The 24741-nt window shown below is 41.3% G+C and overlaps 1 protein-coding gene and 1 long non-coding RNA gene across 61 annotated transcripts in view, besides 2 other annotated features; one reads left to right on the top strand and one right to left on the bottom strand.

Annotated features, from left to right (window-relative positions):
- Nucleotides 1-24741, bottom strand: part of CELF2 (CUGBP Elav-like family member 2) — an 874126-nt gene that overhangs the window by 313285 nt on the left and 536100 nt on the right. For 10 of the 60 annotated variants that reach the window (NM_001326334.2, NM_001326336.2, XM_024447776.2 and 7 more), the window contains exon 1: nucleotides 17951-18079. The exons of 26 other annotated variants lie outside the window; for them this stretch is intronic. Coding sequence is in view for 18 of the 34 variants with exons in the window: in NM_001326336.2 (NP_001313265.1) it covers nucleotides 17951-18003 (53 nt within the window). In the remaining 16 variants the exon portion in view is untranslated. Of the gene's footprint in view, nucleotides 1-4526; nucleotides 4636-4862; nucleotides 4894-4915; nucleotides 5120-5227; nucleotides 5520-17474; nucleotides 17733-17950; nucleotides 18080-18392; nucleotides 18744-19248; nucleotides 19427-24741 lie in introns of those variants that run through there. 24 more of the 60 variants (NM_001326343.2, NM_001326340.2, XM_047424486.1 and 21 more) reach the window with 11 other exon arrangements.
- Nucleotides 5323-5702: a silencer, noted in NCBI's record as "silent region_2124". NCBI's record gives its function as "represses an Ori minimal core promoter by ATAC-STARR-seq in GM12878 lymphoblastoid cells {active_cell/tissue: GM12878}" and the evidence as "EXISTENCE:reporter gene assay evidence [ECO:0000049][PMID:35858748]".
- Nucleotides 5713-5862: a silencer, noted in NCBI's record as "silent region_2123". NCBI's record gives its function as "represses an Ori minimal core promoter by ATAC-STARR-seq in GM12878 lymphoblastoid cells {active_cell/tissue: GM12878}" and the evidence as "EXISTENCE:reporter gene assay evidence [ECO:0000049][PMID:35858748]".
- On the top strand, nucleotides 12135-14367 carry CELF2-AS4 (CELF2 antisense RNA 4). Its single transcript, XR_007062052.1, has 3 exons — nucleotides 12135-12484; nucleotides 13197-13532; nucleotides 13800-14367. It is a non-coding gene; the product is annotated as a CELF2 antisense RNA 4 (long non-coding RNA).

The raw sequence follows: 24741 nt of genomic DNA, 5'->3' as shown, positions 1-24741 counted from the left end.
CAGCTCCATTTCTCTTAAGTTTAGCAAGAGCTGTTTCTTAAGGAAAAATAAAAATACATTTTCTGCACTGCTACACAAGTAGCACACCACTGATACTGGCTTCATTATATTACTCGGCACCTCCTTGGTGGAGGAAACAAACAGGATGCATGAGAACTTGTAGGTGCTAATGAACTGGAAATCATTAGTAGTTTCCAAACCCTCCCTTCTGTGGTTCTGTAAAACAAACATTACACTGACAAACATCTAACTCTTTGTGATGGCCTAATCCGAAAACAAAAAGCGAAAATGTGACCCTCCCGTGAAGAAACAAAATCTCCCAAACGGTAATACTCTAAAGTGGAAATAATGACCTATTAAGTTTGGGTAAAGTGCAGCATTGAACATAAGCAACATTGATGACTTATTAATTTTGCTCCTTGACTCATGTTGAAAATATAACATTTTCCATTTAAATGCAAATTAGATACGGAATGCTTATAGTACTGCTTAACATTTATGAGAGTTTGTTTTCATTTTTGTCGGTTTTTACAAAAAATTCAACAATGACATCATATTCCCATTATAATCTACATATAAGTCTCAACAATGATCGCTACCCTGATTTTTTGCCCAAGAGCTGGGTCATATTGGGCGCTGGCTGTATTACACTCAGCTGTATCAGATCATTTTGCATGCCAAACGTAACCTGTCTTTTTATGCTAAGTAAACGAGTGTTTAACCTTTAATAAAAGTAAGGAAGGGGTAAAGAGAAATGAAGTTTGGGGATTTATGTAAAAAAGCTAAGGATATTGCAGTCTTTTACCAGAGGCCAAATACAGTGTTATTGTAGCTGTCAGGGGAGAAAAAAAAAACAACCAAACACTGAGAAGTGGAAAACACTCCAAATGATCCCATGAAATCTTAATTACTAGGTTCATATCCAAAAATCCCATCACCTTTTTATCTTGTCTTTCAAGGGTCTTGTTTCCCCAGCTCACTGCATCTCATCAACAGATGCCAAAGTTATCTCAACCCAGCAAATTGCAATTAAACAGCAAGATTAAACAATTAAAATAATACCTCTGCCCAGATCAAAGATAACATCAGTGTTCTAAAAAGCCAATGTGGGATGAATTCTTCCTCTCGGAAAGCAGCTGATAACATGTGCTGTTAACGGAGCAATCTCAACTGAAAAAAACACTTCAAAAATTTTCCTTAAAGAACCATACGCAAAGTCTTTTCTTTAGACTTTTCTCATTTTAATTTCCTTTCATGACCATCAGAGTATCAGGTGATAAATGCCAGTTATCTCCGTATTATTTATAACTGCATTTTCTAAATAGACTTTAAATGCCCATGGAGGAGAAAAACAGAACCCCACTGCTTTTGATCTTTATCTTGCTGGAACCTTGTAAACCAAAAAGATTTTTAATTAAAACGTATTCTGCTTAGTTAATAAATATATGGAATAACCGAATTGGAATCAAATTAGAAAGTATAAAATGATGTTTCACATACATCAATCCTGATCAGGTGACATACTTATTTCTTATGCTCATTCTCACATGGCACAGTTTTGATTTTGATAAAAGGGTATGTCATATCCTTTAATTCAGTGTTCTTCTCTGCATCAACCCATGAACATTACATGCCACCCCACATGTGTTCACTTACTTGAAAACCACAGTTTTGCCATTTACTGCCTATGTGGCAGGGGCAAGCAGGTCACCTCTTTAAGCATCATCTGTAAAATGTGGGCAATATCCACCCTGCAGATTAGAGACGGTGTGAATAAACTATCCTGGCGCATGGCAGGCACTCAACTAACAACTCACGTTTCCTTATTTTGGGGGGAGGCAGTAATTACTTCTTGGACTCGTCACACTGCCCCTCTAACAGTTTCTTAATCTATAAAATGAGGTCTGATGAGATGGTCTCTAAAGCCCTTTTCAGCTTTAACAATGATGTCCTTAGAACCACCCTTCAGTTTAATTATACACTGATAGATATTTTGCCAGTTATCCTAACTTGAAAGGACTTAACAAAAAGCTAGTTCATTAAGCTGATGAATTTACAGTCAACATAACTTTTCTCATTTTCAATAAGGTTACCTACCAAATGTAAAAAAAATTTATTTTTAATTTATTGGTAGACTCTTCTCAGTGTCTTATTCTAACACCTAATGCTTTTTAAGCTGTGTTTATCAGTCTAACTGTAATTTCTCATTTCTGAGACTTTATTTATTAGCTTTGTTTAAAAATCCAAAACCATTTACAAACCCTAAATGCATGTATATGGTCATTAAAAAGGTGAATCAAAGGAGGAAACACTCTCCACCATCTTAATTGAAAATCAACTGTCAGTTTAAAATCAAATTTAAAAAAAAATCAGTGCCTGTTTTCATTATGCTGTGTGGCTAATATTGTAGATGATATTGTATAGTAACACAAAGACAATGAAACTTTAATAGCCAAGATTATTTAAAATGTCCATTTCCATTTATAGTTTTGATACCGAATGTTTAAAACCCCAAAACTTTGAAGCATATGTTACAGCAATTCTACACCACTACAGAGCCTTAAATGATCTGGGCTCTTTAAACACTGGATAGCTCGTGGGGCTATCAAGCGTAATAATTCATCTCAAAAGCTATTTGTTCATCTGCCTTGAGGACTCAAACATATTACATCTTGCAAACTTATCTAATATATTCTCGTGGGAAAACGCCATTGAAAATATTCTACTGCTTTAGAAAAATCAACAGCAGAAAAGCCCCTATGCTTTATTTAAGTTCCTTTTAGGAACAGGCCAATATCTAGCCGACTGCAATTTAGTCCAAATGGCAATATACCACACATGACAACCAGTCCCTAAAACAATAAATCCGCATGGCTATCTTCTCAACTGGGTGAATATGGCAATAAAACTTACAACTTAGGCGGATTTCAGGCATTTTCAACTTGTCATATTCCCCCCCACACACCTCTATCCCCAGATACAGTATTTAATGTGAGTTAATTATGAACGATATATAAAAGCATGCTCTAGTGTTCTCAGGGCTATGGAGACACACAATAGCTATTTAGGAAACAAATAATAAAACTATCATTTACAAATCCTCTTTTCTTCCCTTAGTTCAATTAAGCAACAGCTGACAAACGCTGAGAACAATTTGGGTTTGATTCCAAAGGCTATCATTTGGAAATAACTAACATTTGGAAGAGAAGTGAGGTGGAAGTCACGTTAGGATTTTCATAGGAGACTCCATGGCTAAGGCACAAGGGCTCAGTTCAGAGCAAATCGCTTGAACAGGCCACATTCATCCACCAAATGAAAAGGATAAATTAAATTTTTGTAATTCATAATTTAATTGACAAGAAACTGCATCTTTCTGAGGCCATTAACACTTTAAATTCATAGAGCATTCATCAGCTTAGCTATATTATGGTCACTTAAGTAGCAGGTGACCATAAATTCAAAATCATGATTAGGCGAATTCTTCAGTTTAGCCTGGACCCTCTAGCCTCTAGAGGAGAAAACGCATAAAACTTTCATACTAGCTCATGTGCAAACATGTATTACGTGTCTATACAGGTATATATTTTAAGATGGGGGACAGGACAGAGGTCTCTTAAAACAAATATCGTGGAAATGTTACTAATCATGATTCACATCTCGGAGAAAACTACCAAAACAGAATACGGAAAAGATGAACCTGATCGTGTACAAGCAAATTAACATTCTTAATATTGACTCAAAAGACAATTTGCATAACAGATTCTATCATCCCCCTCCTCCACCCCCCTCCTTTTTTTTGGTGGGGAGGTCCTTGCAGCTCAAATAATTGGCCACTGCAGAGTTTCTCAAGAATCTCTTAACTCATAACACTTAACATGCTAGAAAAAGAATCTAGCATGGCAGGGGAAAGTTAGTTGCCAGGGAAATGGATCATAAAGCCTGGAATAACCTCAATACTGCAGAGTACCATAAGGTGCCAGACAGAATAGGGATGTTAAGTCCTACAGTGGGTAGAACAGGAAACATTTTACACGCACTCTTACCATACCAATCCATTTTTTTCTCACTGGATTAGATTAATTACAGCTTAGATCCGCTATCCAATTTCTCGCCTGATCAGAGAAAACTTAAAATGTCGAAAAAGGACACAGACCTTTTGTTCCCACTCTGGCAATCTTTTCTCTCTTTTTAGGTTTCCTTTTCCTAACATGCCTGAAATACAAATAGATCCTACTGACCCCTCCGAGCTAATAAAAACTTTCCTATCAAGCCAGCTAAAAATTAGACATACTTTCCTTTCTTCAGGAATCCCAGCTCTCTACTTCTTTCCAATAAACGCTCTACCTTAGTTTGACGACATGTAAAACAACCAGAATCACATTAATTATTAAATTACAGACTGCATATCAGACAAACCATGATTACGTAAAAATTACCTCTAATTTCTGCAATAAAGTACACCTGGCTAGTTTCACGCTTTATAATTATCCCCCCGCCCTTCCTTGTCTCCGCTTCCCCTCTCCCACCTTAGGAAAGGATCTTTGCAAATATTAAATCAGATGAGCGGGTAATTTGGTAAGAAGAGCTCTTTCCCCCCGGCCACCAGAGCTCCGTCAGCCCCGCATTTCAAATGACACAAGCGTGCACACTCGCACGCGCGCACCCCGCCCGGACCCCGTGCCCGCTCGCCGGTCCCCGCCCGGTCCCCGTCACGCCGCGCTCCGCTCAGTCCTCACCCGGACCCCCAGACCCCGCCCGGTCCCCGCCCGCCCCACCGGACCCCGGGACTCCGCGCCCGGCTCGCCGGTCCCACTTGGACTCATGGACCCCGCCCGGACCCCGGGACGCCGCGCCCCGCTCACCCTGCTCGCGGGTCCTCGCGCCGGTCGGTGGACCCCGCCCGTCCCCCACTCACCCCGCGGGGACCCGGGACGCCGCGCTCGGCCCGCTGGTCCTCACCCGGACTCGCGGACCCCGCCCGGTCCCCGGGACGCCGCGCTCCGCTCGTCCCTCCGGGAAGCCCCGCGCCCTGCACCGCCGGCGCTGCTCGTCCGCACCCGCTCCCTCCTCCCGCGTCCCGTGCCGGCCTCCGAAGGCCGAGGGAGGCGACGGATCCGAAGCGGCCGAGTCGCGCCCGGGAGCTGCGGGCGACGCCCGTCCCCTTCGCGCCGCCGACTCTGGGAGGAGGACGCCCGCTCGCCCGGCCTCGGGACGCGGCGCCACTCACATTCTGTCAGGAACGAGCAGGCGGCCCTCGACCATCATGTCCGGGAGGAAATCCAGCTTGAAGGCAGAAGTCATGTTCGCGGGCGCACGCGGCGGCAGCGGCGGGGGGCGGCTCTGCGCGCGTCCGAGCGGCCGCGGGCGGCGCGAGACGGGCAGGGACAGGTGCGCGCGGCCTCCCCCGGCGGCCGCCGAGCCGGCACTTGTCACATTCTCTCCTCGCGCTCCGCCAATCCCCTCCGAAATCCAGCGCCGGGGCGGCCGGCTGCCGAGCGCCAGGTGCGGCGGGCGGGGGCGGAGCTCGCGGGGCGCCCGCCGCCGCTTAACCCCTGCGGGCCCGCCGGCCCAGAGCGCGGCCCCGAACCCGGCTCCGCCCCGCGGGGACACAGGGCGGGCCGCCTCCGCGCTCACCGCCCGGGCACGGCCAGACTTCTCAGGGTCCCCTGGGCCCCCGAAGGCAAACCCGCTCCCCGCCTGGCTCTGCTCCCCCGCCCGGGGGTCCCTGGCAAGAGGCCGCCGTGGCCGCTCGGAGTAGGTTTAGGGCCACCCAGGCGCCAAAGCCCGCTCCACTTCCATACCCGAGCCGCGCTCCCAGAGCCCAGCCGCGGGAGGCGAGCAGCCCGAGGGTTCGCTTCGATGCTCCTCGGTGTGGTGTGCTTGCCCGGGCAGGAACTAAGGGCGATCACCGAAAGGATATAGGAGGTTTAGGCAAAATAAAGATCAGATCTATGACCCAAGTGACATTTAGGGACTTATCGCAGTGCCCTAAGGAAGACAAACCTGTCTCTGCACGATGGCACTGCCTTTTCTGTCATCTTGCAAACACTAAGAAGTATAAGCGGCTGAAAATAAAGTCATAAATCACGTTTTCTACACAAACGATAATCATGAATCTGCCATTTCCTAGTATTTAACACAATAATTAGAAACCAGCTGAGTGAATTCACGAGTGTTAGGTCTGTAATGTAAGGGCCATGAAGCTTAAATATCCACTTAAGATTTGTGACTGATTTACTAACAAGAATTGAGAAAAATGGCCAAACTCAGAAAAAACAGAGAAGCTGGCGAGTTTAATTTTTAAGTGATTTGCATAAGTTCTGGAAAACTAATTCGTTTCTAAGGTGACATTCTAATTGATCGTTCTCACTGTTGATTATGTGGGTGGCAAACTTTTCACAGTGTAGTCACAAGTATGTAAGACTTCATGGCATATTTCACATTCTGAATCAACATCATAAATTGCGTACCAAAAGTTTATAGTTTACCTCTTAGAGAAACCTTCACTTGATTTTGTAATGACATCTTAAACTTTTAGGGTAATGTATGTGTCTATACAGCTATACATCCATATACCTATACAAACATACACGCACACACACATGGTTTTGTTTGAAATATGTAATTTTCAGTCTTTGTCTTTCTAAAAATCAGAACTGTGCTAGGAAGCTGGGCTTTCTCCTCACAAATTATGCCTGAGGATACCATCACACAAACCAGAGGGTTAAACAACCAAGTTACAAATAGTTAAATGTATCAGACATGATATAGACAAAATATGATTTTAATTATTTCTCACCAGATTCTTGTGTGATGACAGCTAACTATCTTTAGAGGTTATGAAGGCAAATGGACACTTACATATCAATTTTAAATCCAGTTTGATGCATTGAGCAATACAAAGTATCAGACCTGGGATATTCAATTAAGTCCACACATGCTTAATGGACTTGGTTGCCTTCTTCAGCTGAACAATGTATCTGGCTTTTGACCTTCTATTTCCAAGATCATTAGATGTAGGGCTAAACTAACCTTAATTTTTTAAATACTACCTTACTGGAGGAACCAGGTCTGGGCTCCTAAGGAACTGAGGAATGGTTGCAATCGAGTGAATTCTTATACTCCCAAAGGGCCAAACTTGTCCCCAGACTACTAAGCTGCATTTATTCCCCAGCTACTCTTCTGCCTTTGAAATTACAGGATTTTGATTGGTCTTCAATTATCTTAATAATTAGCTGGATAAATGAAGACAAACCTTGGCAGTTCTTGGTTTTCCATACGTTATTTGCATAAATATCTAATGTATATAATCAGCTGACTATATAAAAATTATTTTAAGAAAGGAGCAGACTTGGCCTCCAAAACAGAAGCAAAACACAACTGCATTAATCAAAATGAAAAATATTTTCTAATCAGCCATAGCATAAAGGCTACATTCTGTAAGGTAGAACATGTATATCTACATTCTATAAGGTAGAACATGTTTCATTAACATGTACGCTTCTGAAATACTTATTTTCTCTTTAATTGCATGTGAATTAGTTGGAAGAAGCTGTAAGGAAGCCCTCTTACTGACTTAAGCCTTCTCAGCAGTTTGTTAAATTCTAGCCTCAAATCCCTTGAGGCAATAGTGGATTCAAAGCAGCTTTTAATCATACTATGAGGAGGGTGAAGTAGTATGTAAGTAGGTCATAGAGAGAGGATTCCAAGTGCATAGGTTACTGCTTTATTTAACTACTGTGTAACATAGTTTTCAAATCACATTTGCTTTTGCAGTTTAAAGATATAAGCAAAACCAGGGTCAAATATAAAAGAAAACTCACTCTACATGGGATATGGTGATGTGAACCGAGGAGAGCTTATGGGGTGCATCTGACTTTAAATACTTTGGCTGCCAAATAAATAATGTAGTGATTGCATAGGCACTTGATGTAGATACCAGAGGGAAACTAAATACTCACACACATCACCCCCCACCATAGGTTATTGACAACAATCTTCCATTTGTAGCTTTCATTTCTAATATCGAGTCGGTTTCCATGATCACAGCACATACACAAAAGCCATTTGTAAAAATACAAATTTCAAAAGCTCTTGAGAAAACAAAACAAGAACACCCAACCAAATACCACCCGATGAAAAGCTTCAATTTCTCATTTCACTGCTTTGGAAAGAAGAAAAAAAATCTAAAAACAACTCAACAGGGCCCCTTTTTTAATTTTCATGCAGTAACGAGCCATCAGGTATCATGTTTTGGCAGTTGGAGTTATTTGGCAGACAGCTCTATGGGGCCGCTGTTGAACGCTCGGGTTCAATGAAGCTATTTTATAGTCAAGGATCTTATCGACAGCAGTGGAGGGGACGACGCCATCAGCTGGCCCCACCCGTGGATATGAACCGGTTGGTGACACCACCCTGTGTTGCCATCACTGGGGACCAGGCTGTCCTGAACAATGAAGTTTCCTCATAGTTTTAGCTGCATTGTGGAAAAACCTTAAGCTCTTCTTAGCCCCATCCCCCTACCTTCCCTAATTGTCTCCTTTTTTTAATCAACTTGCTATTCATTTCCCAAACAAAAGGCAATTCAAGAATTGGAAGCACTTCAAGGGAAAGTTTCTGAATGACCTCATTTTATATGAGGCCTTCCCAGGCAAGGGAAAGCACTGTGCAGTTTCAGCTCCACTTCCGTCTTCGAACCTCATCTCATACAGAGTTTTGTCCACAGGTCATTGAGCACTGAATTATCACTGGCATTAAAAAAAAAACACACTCAATGGAAACAGTGCTAATAAATGCATTTGTACGCAGAGTACAAACTGCTTGAATTGGAATACAAACCCTTTTCCTGCCACCTCACTCAATCAGTGAACCAGAATACAGTCCACTGACTTGAGATCTTTCAACATTTTTGCACAAAGTTGCTACTATAATTTAGGGACTGGTGCTTGATATATCGTGACCCATGTTTATAACCCAACAGTTAATTTTCTGCTCGTGCAGACAACCTTGTATATCTTGTGACATTTCCATTTTTTATTATTCCTATACATAACTTCCCATGGTAGCATCACTTAAAAGGCAGTAGCTATCAGCCCTTCAACTACAGAACAAAGATGTGCTAGCATTGTTCAGTCAACTCAAAAAGCCACCTTTACTGAAGGATTTCTTTTTCCTTCTCATTTCTGGCTCGTCATGACAAACCAGGATGCAAAACATCTTTCCCCTATCACATTTGCAAATTCAAATTTTATTAGCATAGCTGTTTTAGTTAACAGCAACAGCAAAGAAACAAAAAAACACGTCCAGCGTGCTCACAGCCATTTGGAGCAAGCAATACAGGCCCTGTGAGGGGATTTCCCATCATTGCCAGGCAATACATTTGAAATCCACATGAATTTTAAGTACCTGAGAGAATATCTGACTTTGTGACCATGTGTTTGTTCTTGGCTTACTGCAGTTTCATTAGCAACTTGCAAAAATAAACATTTTTTAATGTGTTAACAAAAAACCCCAAACATATCCTTAAGTGACACATTGTAAGCCTATCTCTTCTTGGTTCCGTAATGACATCACTTAAACAATAAATATTTATATCGCCAATTATAAGTTTAAAATGATCACTTATTTTCCCTCCATCTTGATAACTTCTGGAACAGTGACATTATCACATTTCTAAGGCGATTTAAGTAAAAGTAAATGCCAATAAAGATGAAATCGTTATTAAGCTCATTTTACATTTTTTCAGGGAATAGTAAGTAGTCACCATTGCTTGAGAATAGCTTCCACTGGTTTCTATTTATTTTTATTTTTTGCAATCTTGTGTTTTTCTGAAGCTGTTTTTCATAGAGCCAGAATACATCATGATGAATTTATCTCCCTTGTGAAGAGGCCTTCAAGCTGAAGACAGTTCCTTGGATACATACCTTCTCACTCGCAAAGGAGGGACCCCACTAGCGTGGTCTGCAGCTTCCAATCCAAGGGAATGAAATGTTAGCACTGTGGATCTCTCACACCCAGAGCCCAACCATCTCATCACTTCCCTCTCTAACTTGCCCTTTCCTTTTTCTCCTTTCTCCATTGTACCAAGATTGCAGGCCTTTTTATTTCTTTCTTTCTCAGCTTTCTCTTTCTCCCTTTTCTCCTCCTCTCTCTCAAATGGGAGCCAGACAGTGGCAGAAACTTCCTCTCCAGCTGCGTGTCTGAGGAAGTAGGTGGCTACCAAAGTGAAGAAAGGAGCCGTGGGTTGCTCATCTGCCAGAGAAATCATGTTTGACTTGCCTTGACCAAGGCCGATTTCTGAACTAGGAACAGCTGTCTTCGCAGTGAGCCCTGGGATTCCTTTCCAGACATTACCAGGAAGAGGAGGGGGAGGATGGAAGACTGTCCACTATGAAGGGAGTCAATAGGATGTGAAAACTGGGAAGGAGACGTCTGGGGAAGGGGTGGGGAGAAGAAAAAGGCTTCCCTGTTTAGCACTGTGATTTGCACACGGCAGGCACTCAGAAAAAAAAAAATCCTTTGAAGAAATGTCCCAGTGCCCTCTTGAAGATGCCGAGATTTGTCAAACCATACCAAGTGCCCTTATCTGGTGCCAGCCTGGCGGCAGGAACAAAATTTACACTTATCAGAATGAGGTTTTCATTCCTTCCCAGTCCACCCCTCACTGCCCCCACCCCGACGACATGTTTTCCCCAACTGGTCAGAAGTTCTTGTCTTACTGTCACATGGTGTTAAATTTTAGAAAAAGGAGACATTACCGCTTGACAGACTACAACAGCTGAACAGCAACAGCTGGGAGGACACAGTTGCAGGCGTAACATTCGGTCCCGGAGAAGGCAGCAACAGGTGGGGTGAAAGGAAGAGAAATGGATGTGGTAAGCTTGAGGGTGGGGTTGTCTGAGACGGATCTTGGCAGGAATCAAATTCTCTACTTCAGAGGGAATCTCTCTGGGCATGACAGCCCATGTGCCTGAATGTCTGTCCTTTTTCTGAACAAATACATCTTGAAAAAAGAGTGAGGATTAAGAGAGCCAAAGCTTTGGTTTCTGTTAAAATAAAGCAAATGAATCTACTTGACTCACTATGGTAACTGATCCCTCCCAAAGAGCTCGTGGTCACTAGGATCAGAAGATATCTGATCCAGTACATGCAGATCAGAATCTTTAGGGCAAGCACTGCTTTCAGACTGAGTGAAGACATTTTGAGGCTTAAGAACCAGACTTGTTGGATTCAGCATTTCATTCTGTCAAAGAGTTGATTGACAATGGGAATGAGTCATTTAATTTTCTGATTCATCAGCTAGACCTTTCTTCTTAAGCGTGGCCATTCCGTACTTCCTAATAGAGATGAATGGCTGAAAAATCAAAGCCTACCATGATCCTCAGATAAGAAGTACAATGTGTTAACCTAATTATCACTACAGCAGTTATATAACCAAGCTATTAAAGTGACATGTAGGTTGAAAATACATTAAGGTTTTGAGCACAGGAAATTTATTTTTTCCCTATAATATGGTTCAAATCTCCAGCCATTTTTAGCCAAGGATAGAGGCTTTTGAAAATCCCAAATGACTTTTTATTTAACTTTGCTTTTGATGCTAATTCCCATGAAGTCCATTAGGGGAAATTTTTTTTCTTTCTCTTAAAAGAACTACCCAAAGCCTTTAGGAAAAAGTGGTATAGCTACCTAGTCAAGCTATACAGAGTGGAGTATGTTCTATCTTGTCCTACCACTATCGCTGAGTACAAAGTGTCATGTGACCTAATCACTTCACTTCTCAATTTCCTCTTTATATGAATAGCTACATATTTGCCCTGTTTCATAGGAATAGGGCAGGTAAGAGAAGAGGAGAGATGTAAATGACATTAGGGTCTGAGGAAGAAAGGAGATGAAGCTAAGGATTGTATTTTGCGTTTTTTTTTTTTTTAATAATAAAGATGAATTCAGGGTGTCCTAATGACACCTTCCCTCTCCCCCTCACCCACCTCCATCTGCCCATCCTTCAGGGCCCAGCTCAACTCCCCTGTCTCTGCATCTCGCCACTTGACCCCTCCTCATTCACTGTCTACTCTTTGTTCCATGAGTGCTGTGAGTTGCTTGAGGCCCCAGACTATGTCTTTCATTGAGCACTGCATGTATGTTTGTTACTTGCTTGGTTTTCATTGCCGTATGACCTATTTTGGCCCCCGAGATGCATAAAAATTCATACTTTAATTTCATAATGCTTTAAAATTGTCTATTGTTCCTTCCAACATCTGTTCCCATTATACAGATTCAAGCCCAAGAGAAGTGAGGCATGGGATGCTTTAATTCAAAGACCTCCTCAGCTGTAAGGTGAACAAATGAGGGTACAGAAGAGAGAGTTGTTAGAATCTACATTGGTACTTTCAAAAATGTTTCCTTTCTTCCTTCCTAGATGCTTTCTGCATTAGCACTGTGCTCCATTTCTTCAGTCCTATGCCCTTCCCAAAATTGGCACTGCAAGGTAAGTTTAAAAGAGCTGTAATTTAGGAAGGGCTGAGCAGCTGAAACTATAAACAGTGACCAGGGATTTGACCGCAGATCCTACGTGACAGTTCCTCGCTGAATTGTACAACTTCCTCGCTAGTTAAAGCCAGGAGACACAAATCAACGTCTACAGTGGAACCACAGCACCAGAGAAAGAAATGTCTTTAAAATGTCAACTATTAAATAGTTATACTGTCAAGATGGCTCATGGGAGGTGTTTGGCTGAATACAGGGTCATAGTTCCTCCCACTGTGTCTATGGGCCTGTGACTTTACCTCTCTCGGGCTCAGTTTTTCATCTTTAAAATGGGAATAACAACTACCATTAACTCTTGGATATCTGAGGATTAAATTATACAAGATCAAAGTAACCAGTTAGTGTAGTGCCAGGTAGATTGTTAATAAGTTTCATTTTTATTCCTTATTTCAACACCCCCACCCCTATCTTTGTTAAAACCTACAACGGGCAGTTGGAAAGGAAGAGAGAAGGCCAGTACTGATTCGATTGTTCTTTTAGCACTGAGGTTTCCACTGATACTTCTAAGGCCTGTAGCCAGACCCAGAGGGAAGAGGGAGGTTATCGTTTCTGGAGAGCAGGCACCGAACATCCTGAGGCTTGGAATGGGGTCTCCATTCGTTTTTATCAAATCGTTTTTCATAAACAAGGTCAACATGAGTTTTCATTTACAGACATGATACCTTAAAGGCATCTCCAAATGAGCAGGTCAGCCTTCTCATCGAGCCCAGAGGAGAGCTGGACTCTCAGCCCAGGATGTTCACAAAGCAAAGCATGAGCAACATCGCAGGGCCTGCTGTCCTGGTGGGACTGAGATGGAGAGCCTTACAAGAAGGATGAAAAGCAACTCATCAATTTCCGCATAAAGGCACAACTGTGCCCAGGCTAGTCAGTTCACAGACCTGCTAGAAGCCCGTGATGCTGCCTGTAAGCTTCAACACAGAGTTTTCTACTGATTGCAGCTGCAGGCCTTCTGAAGAAGGGGATGAAAACAGCCACGCATATCGGAGGTATGTCAGCATCATAACTTGAAACCTCAAGCTCTTCCTTTCCATGACAACAAAGTTTGTGGAACTAAATAGTCTTGCAGGGAAATTCTAGTTTTTATTTTTCTCTGAGGGCATGCTGCCAATCCTGCTCCCTAAACTCAAGTGATTCATCACCATCCTAAACAGCCAATCATGGGCGGGTCAACCTGGAATGGGCTGAAGTAGCAGGAGTTCAATCTGCCCTCGTAATACATGTCACTCAGGGCTGGTGTCACCCTCTCTCCACAGATGCCATTTCCTGTTAACTTTGATGGTCTTGACATACAAGAAAATGTGCCGGATCAGTCACACACTCAGAAGAAAGCTGTGGGGGGAGATAAACACACCTGTACCTGATAATTGCTGACAACGTTCCATGAAGCAGAATGGTGTGTTTGGGAACAAAGTGTACCTCATCGAAAATCAGGGTTAACCAGCAACATCTCTGAGTTGAACGGAGGTTCCGACGCGCGCACGCACACACACACACTCACACACACGCGCACACACACACACACACACAACTTCCATCTTAGTCCGATCTCTGTGAATTGATGCCATTTAATCAGAAAGGTGCTTCGGCTCTAGGACACTTCATTTTAATTCTGAATGGGCTACAACATTAAAACCTCCCACGTCCTGTCCCTCCTTGGACACTCTCTTTCCAATGTCAGCCAAGTCAATTGCCACGAATTTTAATCCTCTCCACACCACTGCCTTGTCTTTCCTACCCAACAAAAGTCACTGTTAGTTCAGAAAAAGAATCCCATATCCAGGAACAATTAGAGAAGCAATCAATAGTTTTATGAATCAGGAATGCTCCCCCCCCCCCCCCGCAAATTCCCCAGGAATTATCAAAATATGCAAAGAAATTCAGTGAAGGCTAATAAAGGTGACCCAAGAAGGCATTATTGCCACTGAATGGACTTGTGCTCATTACTGTTCCAGAAAGTACAGATCAATGCCACAAAGAAGATGATGCCACAAAACAAACTGCATTCTGTTAATGACTGTTACAGAAATCTCCATACAAAGAAATCTAAGTGGGATATTTCTAATATGCTCACTACCATGATGACAAAACCAAGGTATGCTTTTCGTCTATGAATTCTGACACCTTAAATACAGAATGATCGTCCCCACGTAACACTCTTCCTTGTGCATTTTACTTTCTTTCCAAGAACCTGCGTGTTTCCATGGCTGTGCTCAATGAACTTTTTATCAGCCACATTTTCACCTAATTAACCCCCCTGATTACAATAATTAGTATTGATTCACTCTTTGAATGACTTCCTCGGTCTTCTAGCACAATCTGCACTTGCTACAAAGTTCTAGATATGAATACTAATCAAATGCTCACTTTCGTTTTTCAGCCCCAAAAGGAGATTTTTGCAAATGTATACCCTCCTATTTTAAAAAAAGCAAAACTGTCTGGTTTCATTTTAACAAATCAAGGAATATTCATACACAGGGGGTTAGAGATCTCAGTCTGTGGTCTGCTGAACACATCTATGTGAATATTCCCAAAGCTCATGGCAGAAGGGCTTAGGGTGCAATATTTACTTTCTGTGGAAAGAAGTCATTTTCCCAGTTTGAATCTTTTGCTATTCATTTTTCTGCATGTCTGGGCTTAGAATTAAACTTTCCTCCAACATTTGTTAAAGTCACTACCTTGAGGAATCATTACATATAGAGGCTTATGGAAGGATACAGATTACGTATCCTGTTCCTGTTGTGGAAATAGATGTAGACAAGTTTGCCAGCTTCGGGCAACCTCACACCGTCCCTATCAGGTGAAAGGAAAAGACATATGTATGTCGGATGCTAGAATGGGGGCAGCTTCCAAATTCCGGGAGCTGGTAATAATCCAACCACCGGAAAAGCAAACAAAGTGAGAAGAGAGTTACCTCGTTTCCGTACCTAACTGTGACTACCCAGGAATTAGAGTGACTAGATCACAGATAAATAACTGCTAATTTAGTCAAAAATTCAACGTGGGGGTTTCCACGTCGTTTCTTTAAGCGGGCCACGGACAAGCAGCTAGGGAGCACAGAAGGCTACTTTCCTCCCAACCCACACAAAATTGACTTGCAACCTTTGTTTTGGATTAAACATTTCCCATGGAAGCAGAATCGGAGTGTGCTGGAAACCGTGTGCCGGCCTCAGATATAAAGCTTCACCAATTACCTTTTATGAGCCCATCTTGAAAGCAGTTATTGGTATACGATGGAATGAGCAGTTCCGATCCCATCGCAAGTAAGACAACATCACAGGCATGCATTTAAAATTCACTCTATTCACAACCGATAACTTAAAAAATATGATTATGCTGCACATATGTTTTGAGTGTACCTACTCTGAAAATACTGTCCATAGAAAAATCTCTACTTTAGAAGGCAATTCTATTTATCCGGTAACATTTATTTTAATAATCCTGTATTAAAATTTTTTGTAACATTTCAACTTAAATTGAAAAAAACTGAAATTCACGTCCAAATTCTAAAAAATAGCTCATGTTTCATAACTGTTTTCCTAAGTAATACATCTTGTTTCTTATTTATTGAGAACATCATTAATTTAAACCAAAATATAATCCAATAGGGAATATTTACAACTAAAGTTTGAAAAATTACCCTTCAAAACAATTTCCCCTCTGTTTTTTAAAATGAGGTACTTAAACTCTCTCTATAAATGTACTAATATATTCTGATATATTGCTGTGGCACAAACAGCTAATTAAGCAACACATTAGAATGTTAGATAAGATATATTCTTCACAGAAGTCAACCTTAGTAAAATGATTTTCATGTAAATCAATTATAATTCACTAGTCTAGGGCCAATTCTTTTATTTCTTATGTGGCAATATGAATGGTTTCATTATTTGAGAAGTTTGAAACAGATTTTTCCATTTTCTCTGTCGAAAGCTTCACTGTTCTCACCTTAGAAACCAACGCTTATCTTGTAAAATGAAAGATATTTGAAGATGTGAGAAATGTTTGCCCTGCATAGAAAGGCATTTTATAAGGACATAAGCATAAATCAAAAATCAATATATTCCACAGAGACCTTGAACTTCACAACTTAATAGGCTATATAATAATAGTTTGTGACCGAAATTGTGAGGGCAAAAGTTCTCACTTGTCCTTGAATTTCTAAACCGTTTATCTACATGGATGCCAAAGGGAGAAGCAGAGACTAAAAACTGTAATTTACGTAAACATCAAGAATATTCCTCTTAACTCTTTTTCATGCTATGTTTCATAAGTTCACCAAATGAGCAAATTAAAAATCCCCAAGCTTTAAATACCATAGAGGCAGGTCTGATCACAAGGCATTTGCCAGAATGATAATGGTATTACAAGCATTCTCAATCAATAAGTTTTCTTTCAGTAGTTAACAGAGAGGTAAGAAATAAATCTCTAACTTAATCCAACCAACATAGCGGCAGAATGCAAAAAGCTCTATGAACGGTAGATACTAAATTTTTTAAAAGCACTAAACCACAAACAAGCAGTTGCAAAAGCTCTTCATTCTGATAGTCTATACAAACAAGATTATAGGAGATAAAAAAGGGTGTTGAAAAAGAAAAAAATAAAGCCCCAGACATGCATTAAGCTAGTTTGACAGCTGCATTGTTCAACCGGTCCCATTGTCAGACCCAAAGATGTATTCAGTGCTACAATGTCTGCTAGCAAATAAACAAAAGACTACATTTTTCAAAGCAGGATGCCAATTCTATCATAATTTTCCCTCTGCTTCCCAAAAGGTCAGTGGTGCCTCCTTCCTGGTATGTGAGAGAACCCCCAACACAGAGGCAGGAAACAAATATTTGCTTTCAATACATGGGGACCCAGGACGCCATGCATGAAAGAGGTCTCCAAACGGGTACACATTTTGGCAAACAGGATAAAGTGATCCAAACCTGGTAACACAGGAGGACTATTTAGGTAGGCTAAGTCCAGATTAGAGCGGTATTTGGAACGCAAGTCTAATATGGAGTCTCCTCAGCTCCTTTTTCGGTGATTATTCCATGCAGAGTGCATAAAAATGAAAGAGGCTTAGACATTGCAAAGGAAAAGACGAACCAAGATCCAGATTCAGAGCCCTTAAAATTATCCACTGGCCACTCACAAATAGCAGTGAGCAAATACATGATATGCTTTCAAAAGGCAACTAGTACAAATAGAATTCACGGCAGTCCTCCGCCTTTCTCTCGCTGGCTCTCTCTTTCTCCCAATCTCTGGGTCTCGATTTCATCTCCCTCTTCCTCTTTAGATTCTTTTTCCCCCCTTCTCTTCTAAGGTAAGGAAGCTACTTGATTCAGAGCATAATTATTGTCTCAGCCAGCTCTAGAAACTAGAAAAGCGTGCATTAAAAACAAAGGACACAACAACATACCTTAAAAGCAGCTCTTCATTTCTCATAGTAACAGCGGATTTGGGACAGCGCATGCTTCTATACTGATAGTCTCAACAAAAGCCAGTTCAGAAGTATGCTCAAACATCAATGCCACAGTCGCTGCTCACTAACGCGCCCTCTCCTCCCTCTCTCTCTCTCTCTCTCTCTCTCTCTCTCTCTCTCTCCCTCTCTCTCTGTCTTCCCACTCTCTTCCCTAGTCAAATGCTGAATAGTAGAGCAAGGGGGCTCCTGCAGATTCACTAAGTAGAAATAATCCTCTCTGACAAGTTATGTTGTCTATGCATATTATTACACTAATACACTGTGCTGCCTATAGGGGTCTTGTCTGCATTCACTCAAGCCTGGCTGGTATTACTTCTCCTAATTACCATCTTTAAAAATTGGGGGAACAAAAAAAACAACAACCAAGGAACTCATTTACCTTTTTCTTACACACTTAATAGCAAAACCAATTTCCCAGTTGCCTTTTGCTATCAAAACTACCAGCAAGCATCGCAGATGAGTAACCACAGATTGGGATGGGTCAGTGTGCTAAAAAGGATTTTTGCCTCTCTTTTCTGGGACACTGCATTCACAGTTGGATTCATCTGCTCCTCTTGTCTTGTCCTCAGGAAGAGTGACAAGGTCAAGACCCTTAGCCCCACCCTGAGTCATAGATGCATAGCATAGAGATCGAGGATTTGGAAATATTTTAACTCTGTGCGCACCAGAATTCTCACAAATCAGAGCGTCATTCACCTGGAGGAGGGTATCTAAAGGAGGCAGGCAATGCAAAGATTGTTTGGTGGCACTGGAGTCCTCATCGACACAGGAGCATCATCTGCAAAAGACCAATGAGTTGCTCTTTTCTAAAATAAGAAAAATCTGCTTTCCTACCAGGCTTCGCATGTACAGTTAACCAGGGAAATATACATTGTACTTCTGTTTATTGGAATTAGAAAAATTCTACGCAGATTAGCCAAGTAAAATAACAACACACACACACACACACACACACGCGCGCGCACACACACACAGGAAAGAAGAGATGCTAAGGACTGAGCAATCCGTCATCAAAAGTGCAAGCTAAGGCACTATTCCAGGAGGTGTGTGCTGACCTGAAGCCAAGAATGCGCTCAGCTTGGATGGAACAACATAGAACAGCCTCAAACAGACGTGGGTCACTGAATCCTGGTCCCGCTCCCATTCTCCAACATGCACCTCAGTATAACCTGGACTCAAAGCATTACTGGGGATAATAATAGAGGAGGAAAGTAATGGTGGACTCTGTTCCCCACCTATTTGAAGATCTGGAACACACTCCAATTTCTTGCTAGGTCTCTGACCTCTGAACTTGGTCTTGATCCACAGCTAGAAAAATGAACATGTTCTCTGGGCAGGGGGAGACGAAGGTTTTTAAATCTCCACTGCACAGAAATCTTGCATGATGTATCAGCTGGACTATGGCAAATAAGCGAAGGATAGCACTCACCATCCCTATTTCTAGAGGGCAACAAGAAGGCGTGATGAGTCACTTGACAAAAATCAGATCATGAAATGAGAGCCTTGTCCCTAAAACAACCCCATTTTTTTTTTACATATTCTTGCTTCATTCTAACATATGAAAGTTACAGTGAATATATAAAAATGAACAACCTTGCCAGCGAATGATATCATATAAAATCTAAGATGTTCTTTTGAAGTAAGAAAAGCATCATGTAAATGAGCTTGGAACCAGAGAGATCTTAGGGAGAAACAGTTTGAGCCCATTCGCCTTGTGACTTGTGCTCGGTGCTGGGGCAGAAGTCTCTTAACCTCTCTGTGGCTCTCTTTACTCCAGCGGTTAAATGGGGGCAACAAATGCTAATTTATTTTAAAGCATGTGAAGAGCTTGTAGTGAAACTGGGTGTGTTCAGTCAGCGTAAATATTATTAAAAATGGGATAACTGGACTGATACCAGCCACCGGTTTTGTCCATTAGAGAAAAGTAAAAATACGCTGCTCGGACACAAAGCCCTTTTTGCATATTTCCATGCAGTTTCTAATGGGGGCTAAACTATGAAGCAAGCACTAACGTACAACAATAATGCAGTTGCTTATCCAAAGGTAAATTCTTAACATTGGAAGCCCATGTTGTAGTATATGGGGCTGTTCCTACAGTGAAATAAATTGTGGATCCATGGTAGTAAGGACTGGAACTGAACCAAACCATTAAATATTTTATACTCTCTCCACTTCCTTTTTAGTCTACGGATGTAAATAATGAGAACGCTATTGAGGTAGAGTTTAGTACCTGTCTAAACGCCACTAAGATGACAGATTGAGGGCTTTACATCCACCATGTGCTAAACCTGGGTTATAAAGATGAGTAAATAGGAAGAAAGGATGTAGTTTATAACATGTACATAGTGTATATAGTAAGTCTTTGACCTCCCCAACTCCACATGGAATTAATCTTTGCACTTCTTAATGCACCCACTAGAATATTTTTCCCTTATCTGATAATTAATACATATTTGTTAAATAAAGGAATGAATTTATGTTTAACCACTGGAAATGTGAGGAGAGGACTATTTTATTTTCAAAAAAATTTTAAATGCCATTTCTCTAACAACTATGTGAAAAAAAAAATAACCTTGACGTTTCTTATTCTAATTCAGGCACTGGTCAGCATAGATGACTACACTGAGATATTCCTTTCATGCTATTGTGTTTTACATTTCAAGACCTTTTCACATTTAGCAATTGATTTAATCCCCATGACAACATAGTGGGCAGGCACCGCTGGTTCCTTAACCCCCTTAGCTGCAGAAATTCAAGTGTAGGAAGTGGCTGGAGTGACTTACCTGGAGAAGATGCAATAATGATGGAGCTTAGGCGCTCATTCTACCGACTGCTGGGCCTGCCCCTTTCTACGACACCACATGCAACCCAATGCCCCCACTGTGCACAGAGATCCGCATACTCGCCCCAGCAAAGCATAGTTTTTAAGGAGTGCTTAGTGTAATGAATCTTACACTTCCCTAATGTGATAGTAATAACCTTAGGGGATAGTGATACGGTTTGGCTCTGTATCCCCACCCAAATCTCACCTTGAACTGTAGCTCCCAAAATTCCCACGTGTTGTAGGAGGGACCTGGTGGGAGATAACTGAAATCACAGGGGCGGTTTTCCCCATTCTGTTCTCGTGGTAGTGAATAAGTCTTATGAGATCTGTTGGTTTTATAAGGGATTTCCTTTTTCACTTGGCTCTCATTTCCTCTCTTGCCTGTTGCCATGTAAGACGTGACTTTTGCCTTCCGCCATGATTGTGAGGCCTGTCCAGCCACATGGAACTGTGAGTCCATTAAACCTCTTTTTCTTTATAAATTACCCAGTCTCAGGTATGTCTTTATCAGCAATGTGAAAATGGACTAATACAGATAGATAGTAAGTTAATGAAAAATTGCTTAAGCAGTTTCTGACTTGGATACTAGTATCAAAGCAATTCCTTTCAAACTTTATTCCAAATGAAGGTCGAGTTGAGCCTAGACAGACTAACAACTTTTGGGGGCTAATTATTAATATTTTTTGGGATCATCTGCAGTAGGAGCCAATTTTTAACAATCCTGATTATTACTATATTTGGTTGGTAGGGATTTCTTTTTTTCCAAAAAAAAAGCAGTAATTAACAAAGAACAATAAGAAAATCTTAGATTGTTCGGATGCCCTCTATATCCAAAAAGATGTTTTTGCTGTATAAATTACATTTTTAGCTAATAATGCAAACTTGATGAAGAAAAAAACTAGAAAAGTTCTGCAATGTGAGAATATTGGCAGTGAGCTAAGAATCAGCCAGCTTCTTGGCCTTTTCAGATTTGAGCTTTCTAAACAAATTTAAAAGGTGAAATTATAGGTGCATTTGTTTCTGTTATAGGTAATTTCCAGAAGAAAGAGCTAAATTTCCAAATACAACTTAATGATTCTTAAGTTTTTTTTCTGCTTTCTGTGTCTTGTCTTTGCATTTTGGCATTTACATTGCAAAAGTAATAGAAAGTATCATTTCAATGGAAGTGTTAATACAAAATATGCCAGAGCCTGACAGAACAGATTCCCTCTTTGATAAGCATGGGACAGTACACAAATCTAGCCTGCCTCTCAAATCCTAAAAGAACAATCCAGGAATGTGGAGGCATCAAGGACATTAAATCTATTTAGCTGCTAGTTTCAGATACTGAGAACTGCCAAGTTTAATTAAGAAACATCCCATATTGCTCTGGAAGATGGAAAGAATACATAGAAAATTTGTTAAGTAAATATGAAGCAATGATCAAGGTCTAAAAGAAATGGATTTGCAGTGTACCAAGTGTGTGATACATAGTAGGAGCTCGGTGAAGTTGATAAATACACGTGCAAATGGATGAACGTTCTTCTATTCTGCTGATGTCACACTGAAGACACAAAGCTCCTCTGACCCCAATTTATCAACTGCAGAAGAAGGGTCTTTCTCTATGGGTGCAACAGAGGCAAAGCAGTGACGTCTGCAAATAGTGGGGGAGCCCAGGGCAGCACTGGGGACAGAAGCCGAAGACTAATGGAATATGGTGCAATCCTTCTTCCAGACCCCAGTTCCATGCTCTGCCTCGTGGGGGAAAATACTTCCAAAGCATAAAAGACCCGAGTATCACAATTCACTACCTGAAACATAATACTGACAGTGGGTTTAAAGTAAGACACCAGTAGCATTGCTAAAGAAAGGGTTTGACAGTATCTGGGGAACTTGTTCATATGAGTTGCTTTCACTTGAGCAACTCAAAAATGACCTGTCAGTCATACTGTGGAAGCAGGAGGTGGCCATCCCAGTGACAAATCCAAGGGCCCTAAATTCCAAATGGAGACTCCTTCCACAAAGACTGTTCACTCATTTTCAAATTGGAGCTGTTTACCAGGAGGAGCAGGGCGCAGGAATGATTAATGAGCAAGACTAATTGTAAAGCCCCTTATCATGATAAAGTGTCACATTTATCAATATGTATGTATAAATAGCAAACCATAAAGTACTTGGAACTCCAAGAAGCCACTTGAAAATAGGTACTAGATAAATTTAAGAAGTATTGTTCTAAAGAGTAATCATGATTCTCTGCTGTAAATGAAAGCAGACACCAAGAACTGGCTTCAGAGGACTATGTCTGTGTAGGTAAAGAAAGGCCCATTGAAGACAAGAAGAAGAAAGGAAAACATTTCCCATTAAAATAAACTATCATGGATAATGTAGTTGATTAAAAAAACAAACAAACAAACAATCAAAAACTAGCTTTGGTTTGTGAAATCTTACAACTTAGCAGACAACATGTTCACAATGGAGAGATCAGTTTTGGCCTAATGTTTTGCCAAGCACCACTTTCAGGCAGGTGGGAAATCTTAAGAAGGCCACAGGTGAATATTCATAAGTTAGGCGTTTAATATTTATGTGGAAAATGGACCAAGTTTATTCTTGCTATTTTTAGAGGAGGCAAAGGCACAAGCAACTCCCTTTCTTCCTGCTCAAAGTGCCAGGTCAGAGAAACTACGTTACTCGACCATTATCTGGGCATCCAAATGTGAATATGACCTTTGGTGCACTTGGGGATCTTCCTTTCCTAGTGGTTTTGATTCTAGGGAATCCTAAGAAGTAAACTGCACAAGCTTAATAAAGACCACAGTGGAGTGGATCAGCCTTCCTTCCTGGAAGGTGAGACCAATATGGCAATTCATATGATCACGTGACGGAAATGCAAGAGAGACCCAGATGGTGTAGGAAAGATGAGTTTGAAACTATCATAACACATCCACAACTCTTTTTAATTTTTTATACTTTTTCAGAGATGGTGTCTTGCTCTGTTGCCCAGGCTGGAGTGCAGTGACACAATCATAGCTCATTGCAGCCTTGAACTCCTGGGCTCAAGTGTTCCTCCCACCTCAGCCTCCCAAGTAGGTAGGACTACAAATGTGTGCTTCCATGCTCATCGCATAGCTCTCATATAATACTCAGGTGCTTTCAATGTTACCTTTCTATATCACCCTCTGAAACTAAGTTATTTACTTATTAACTTGTTTGTTATCTGTTTCCTCCATGTGAACCTAAGTTCCATGAAAACAGGGAGCTTCTCCATTTTATCCCCACTTTAGAACAACGTGTGGTATGTGGTAGACACTTAGGAAACATTTGTTCGGAGGATGGATTTCTTCACGAAGCATTCTTCCTGTGCGTTACCTAGTCTCAGTGGCTTGCAGCTGTATCGCACAATTTGTGAAATACCACGCTCAACGAGGAGTCATTAAGTTATTCAGCTAGAACAGGGAGAGACAAAAAGATTAGGAAGGGCCTGTTCCTAACTTTAAGGATTTGATACATTCCTTGAGATGGAATGATAAACTTGATGTTTTCATAATTGTTTTTGAATTTTAAAGCACCATTTATATGGGTACGTTGAAAATAAAATGATAAAACTGTATATTACCTTCATTACTTTCCATAAATGCTAAAGTTTGGGAGTTCATAAACTGCAGGCAGGTAGAACAGGGCATTGAAGATGAGATGGGAAGACAAGACTTTCAGAATTAGGAGCAATGGGAGCAGGAGGGTGATTTTTGTGGTGGCTTGGCAAAAGCAAGTGTCCTATAGGCCAGGAACAAGAATCAGAAGCCAGTGTAATTTTTGCTTCATTCATTTTTAGGAGTAGTTCTACTTTTTGCATTTAATGCTTCAGTTGACTGTGCCACAGCCCCAAGAGCTGGTGTCACCTCATTTCTTCCCGGGTCAGCCTGCGCTC

Source organism: Homo sapiens, chromosome 10, assembly GCF_000001405.40.
Source record: "Homo sapiens chromosome 10, GRCh38.p14 Primary Assembly".
NCBI classification, from domain to species: domain Eukaryota; kingdom Metazoa; phylum Chordata; class Mammalia; order Primates; family Hominidae; genus Homo; species Homo sapiens.
This window is presented reverse-complemented; position numbering and strand designations above follow the sequence as displayed.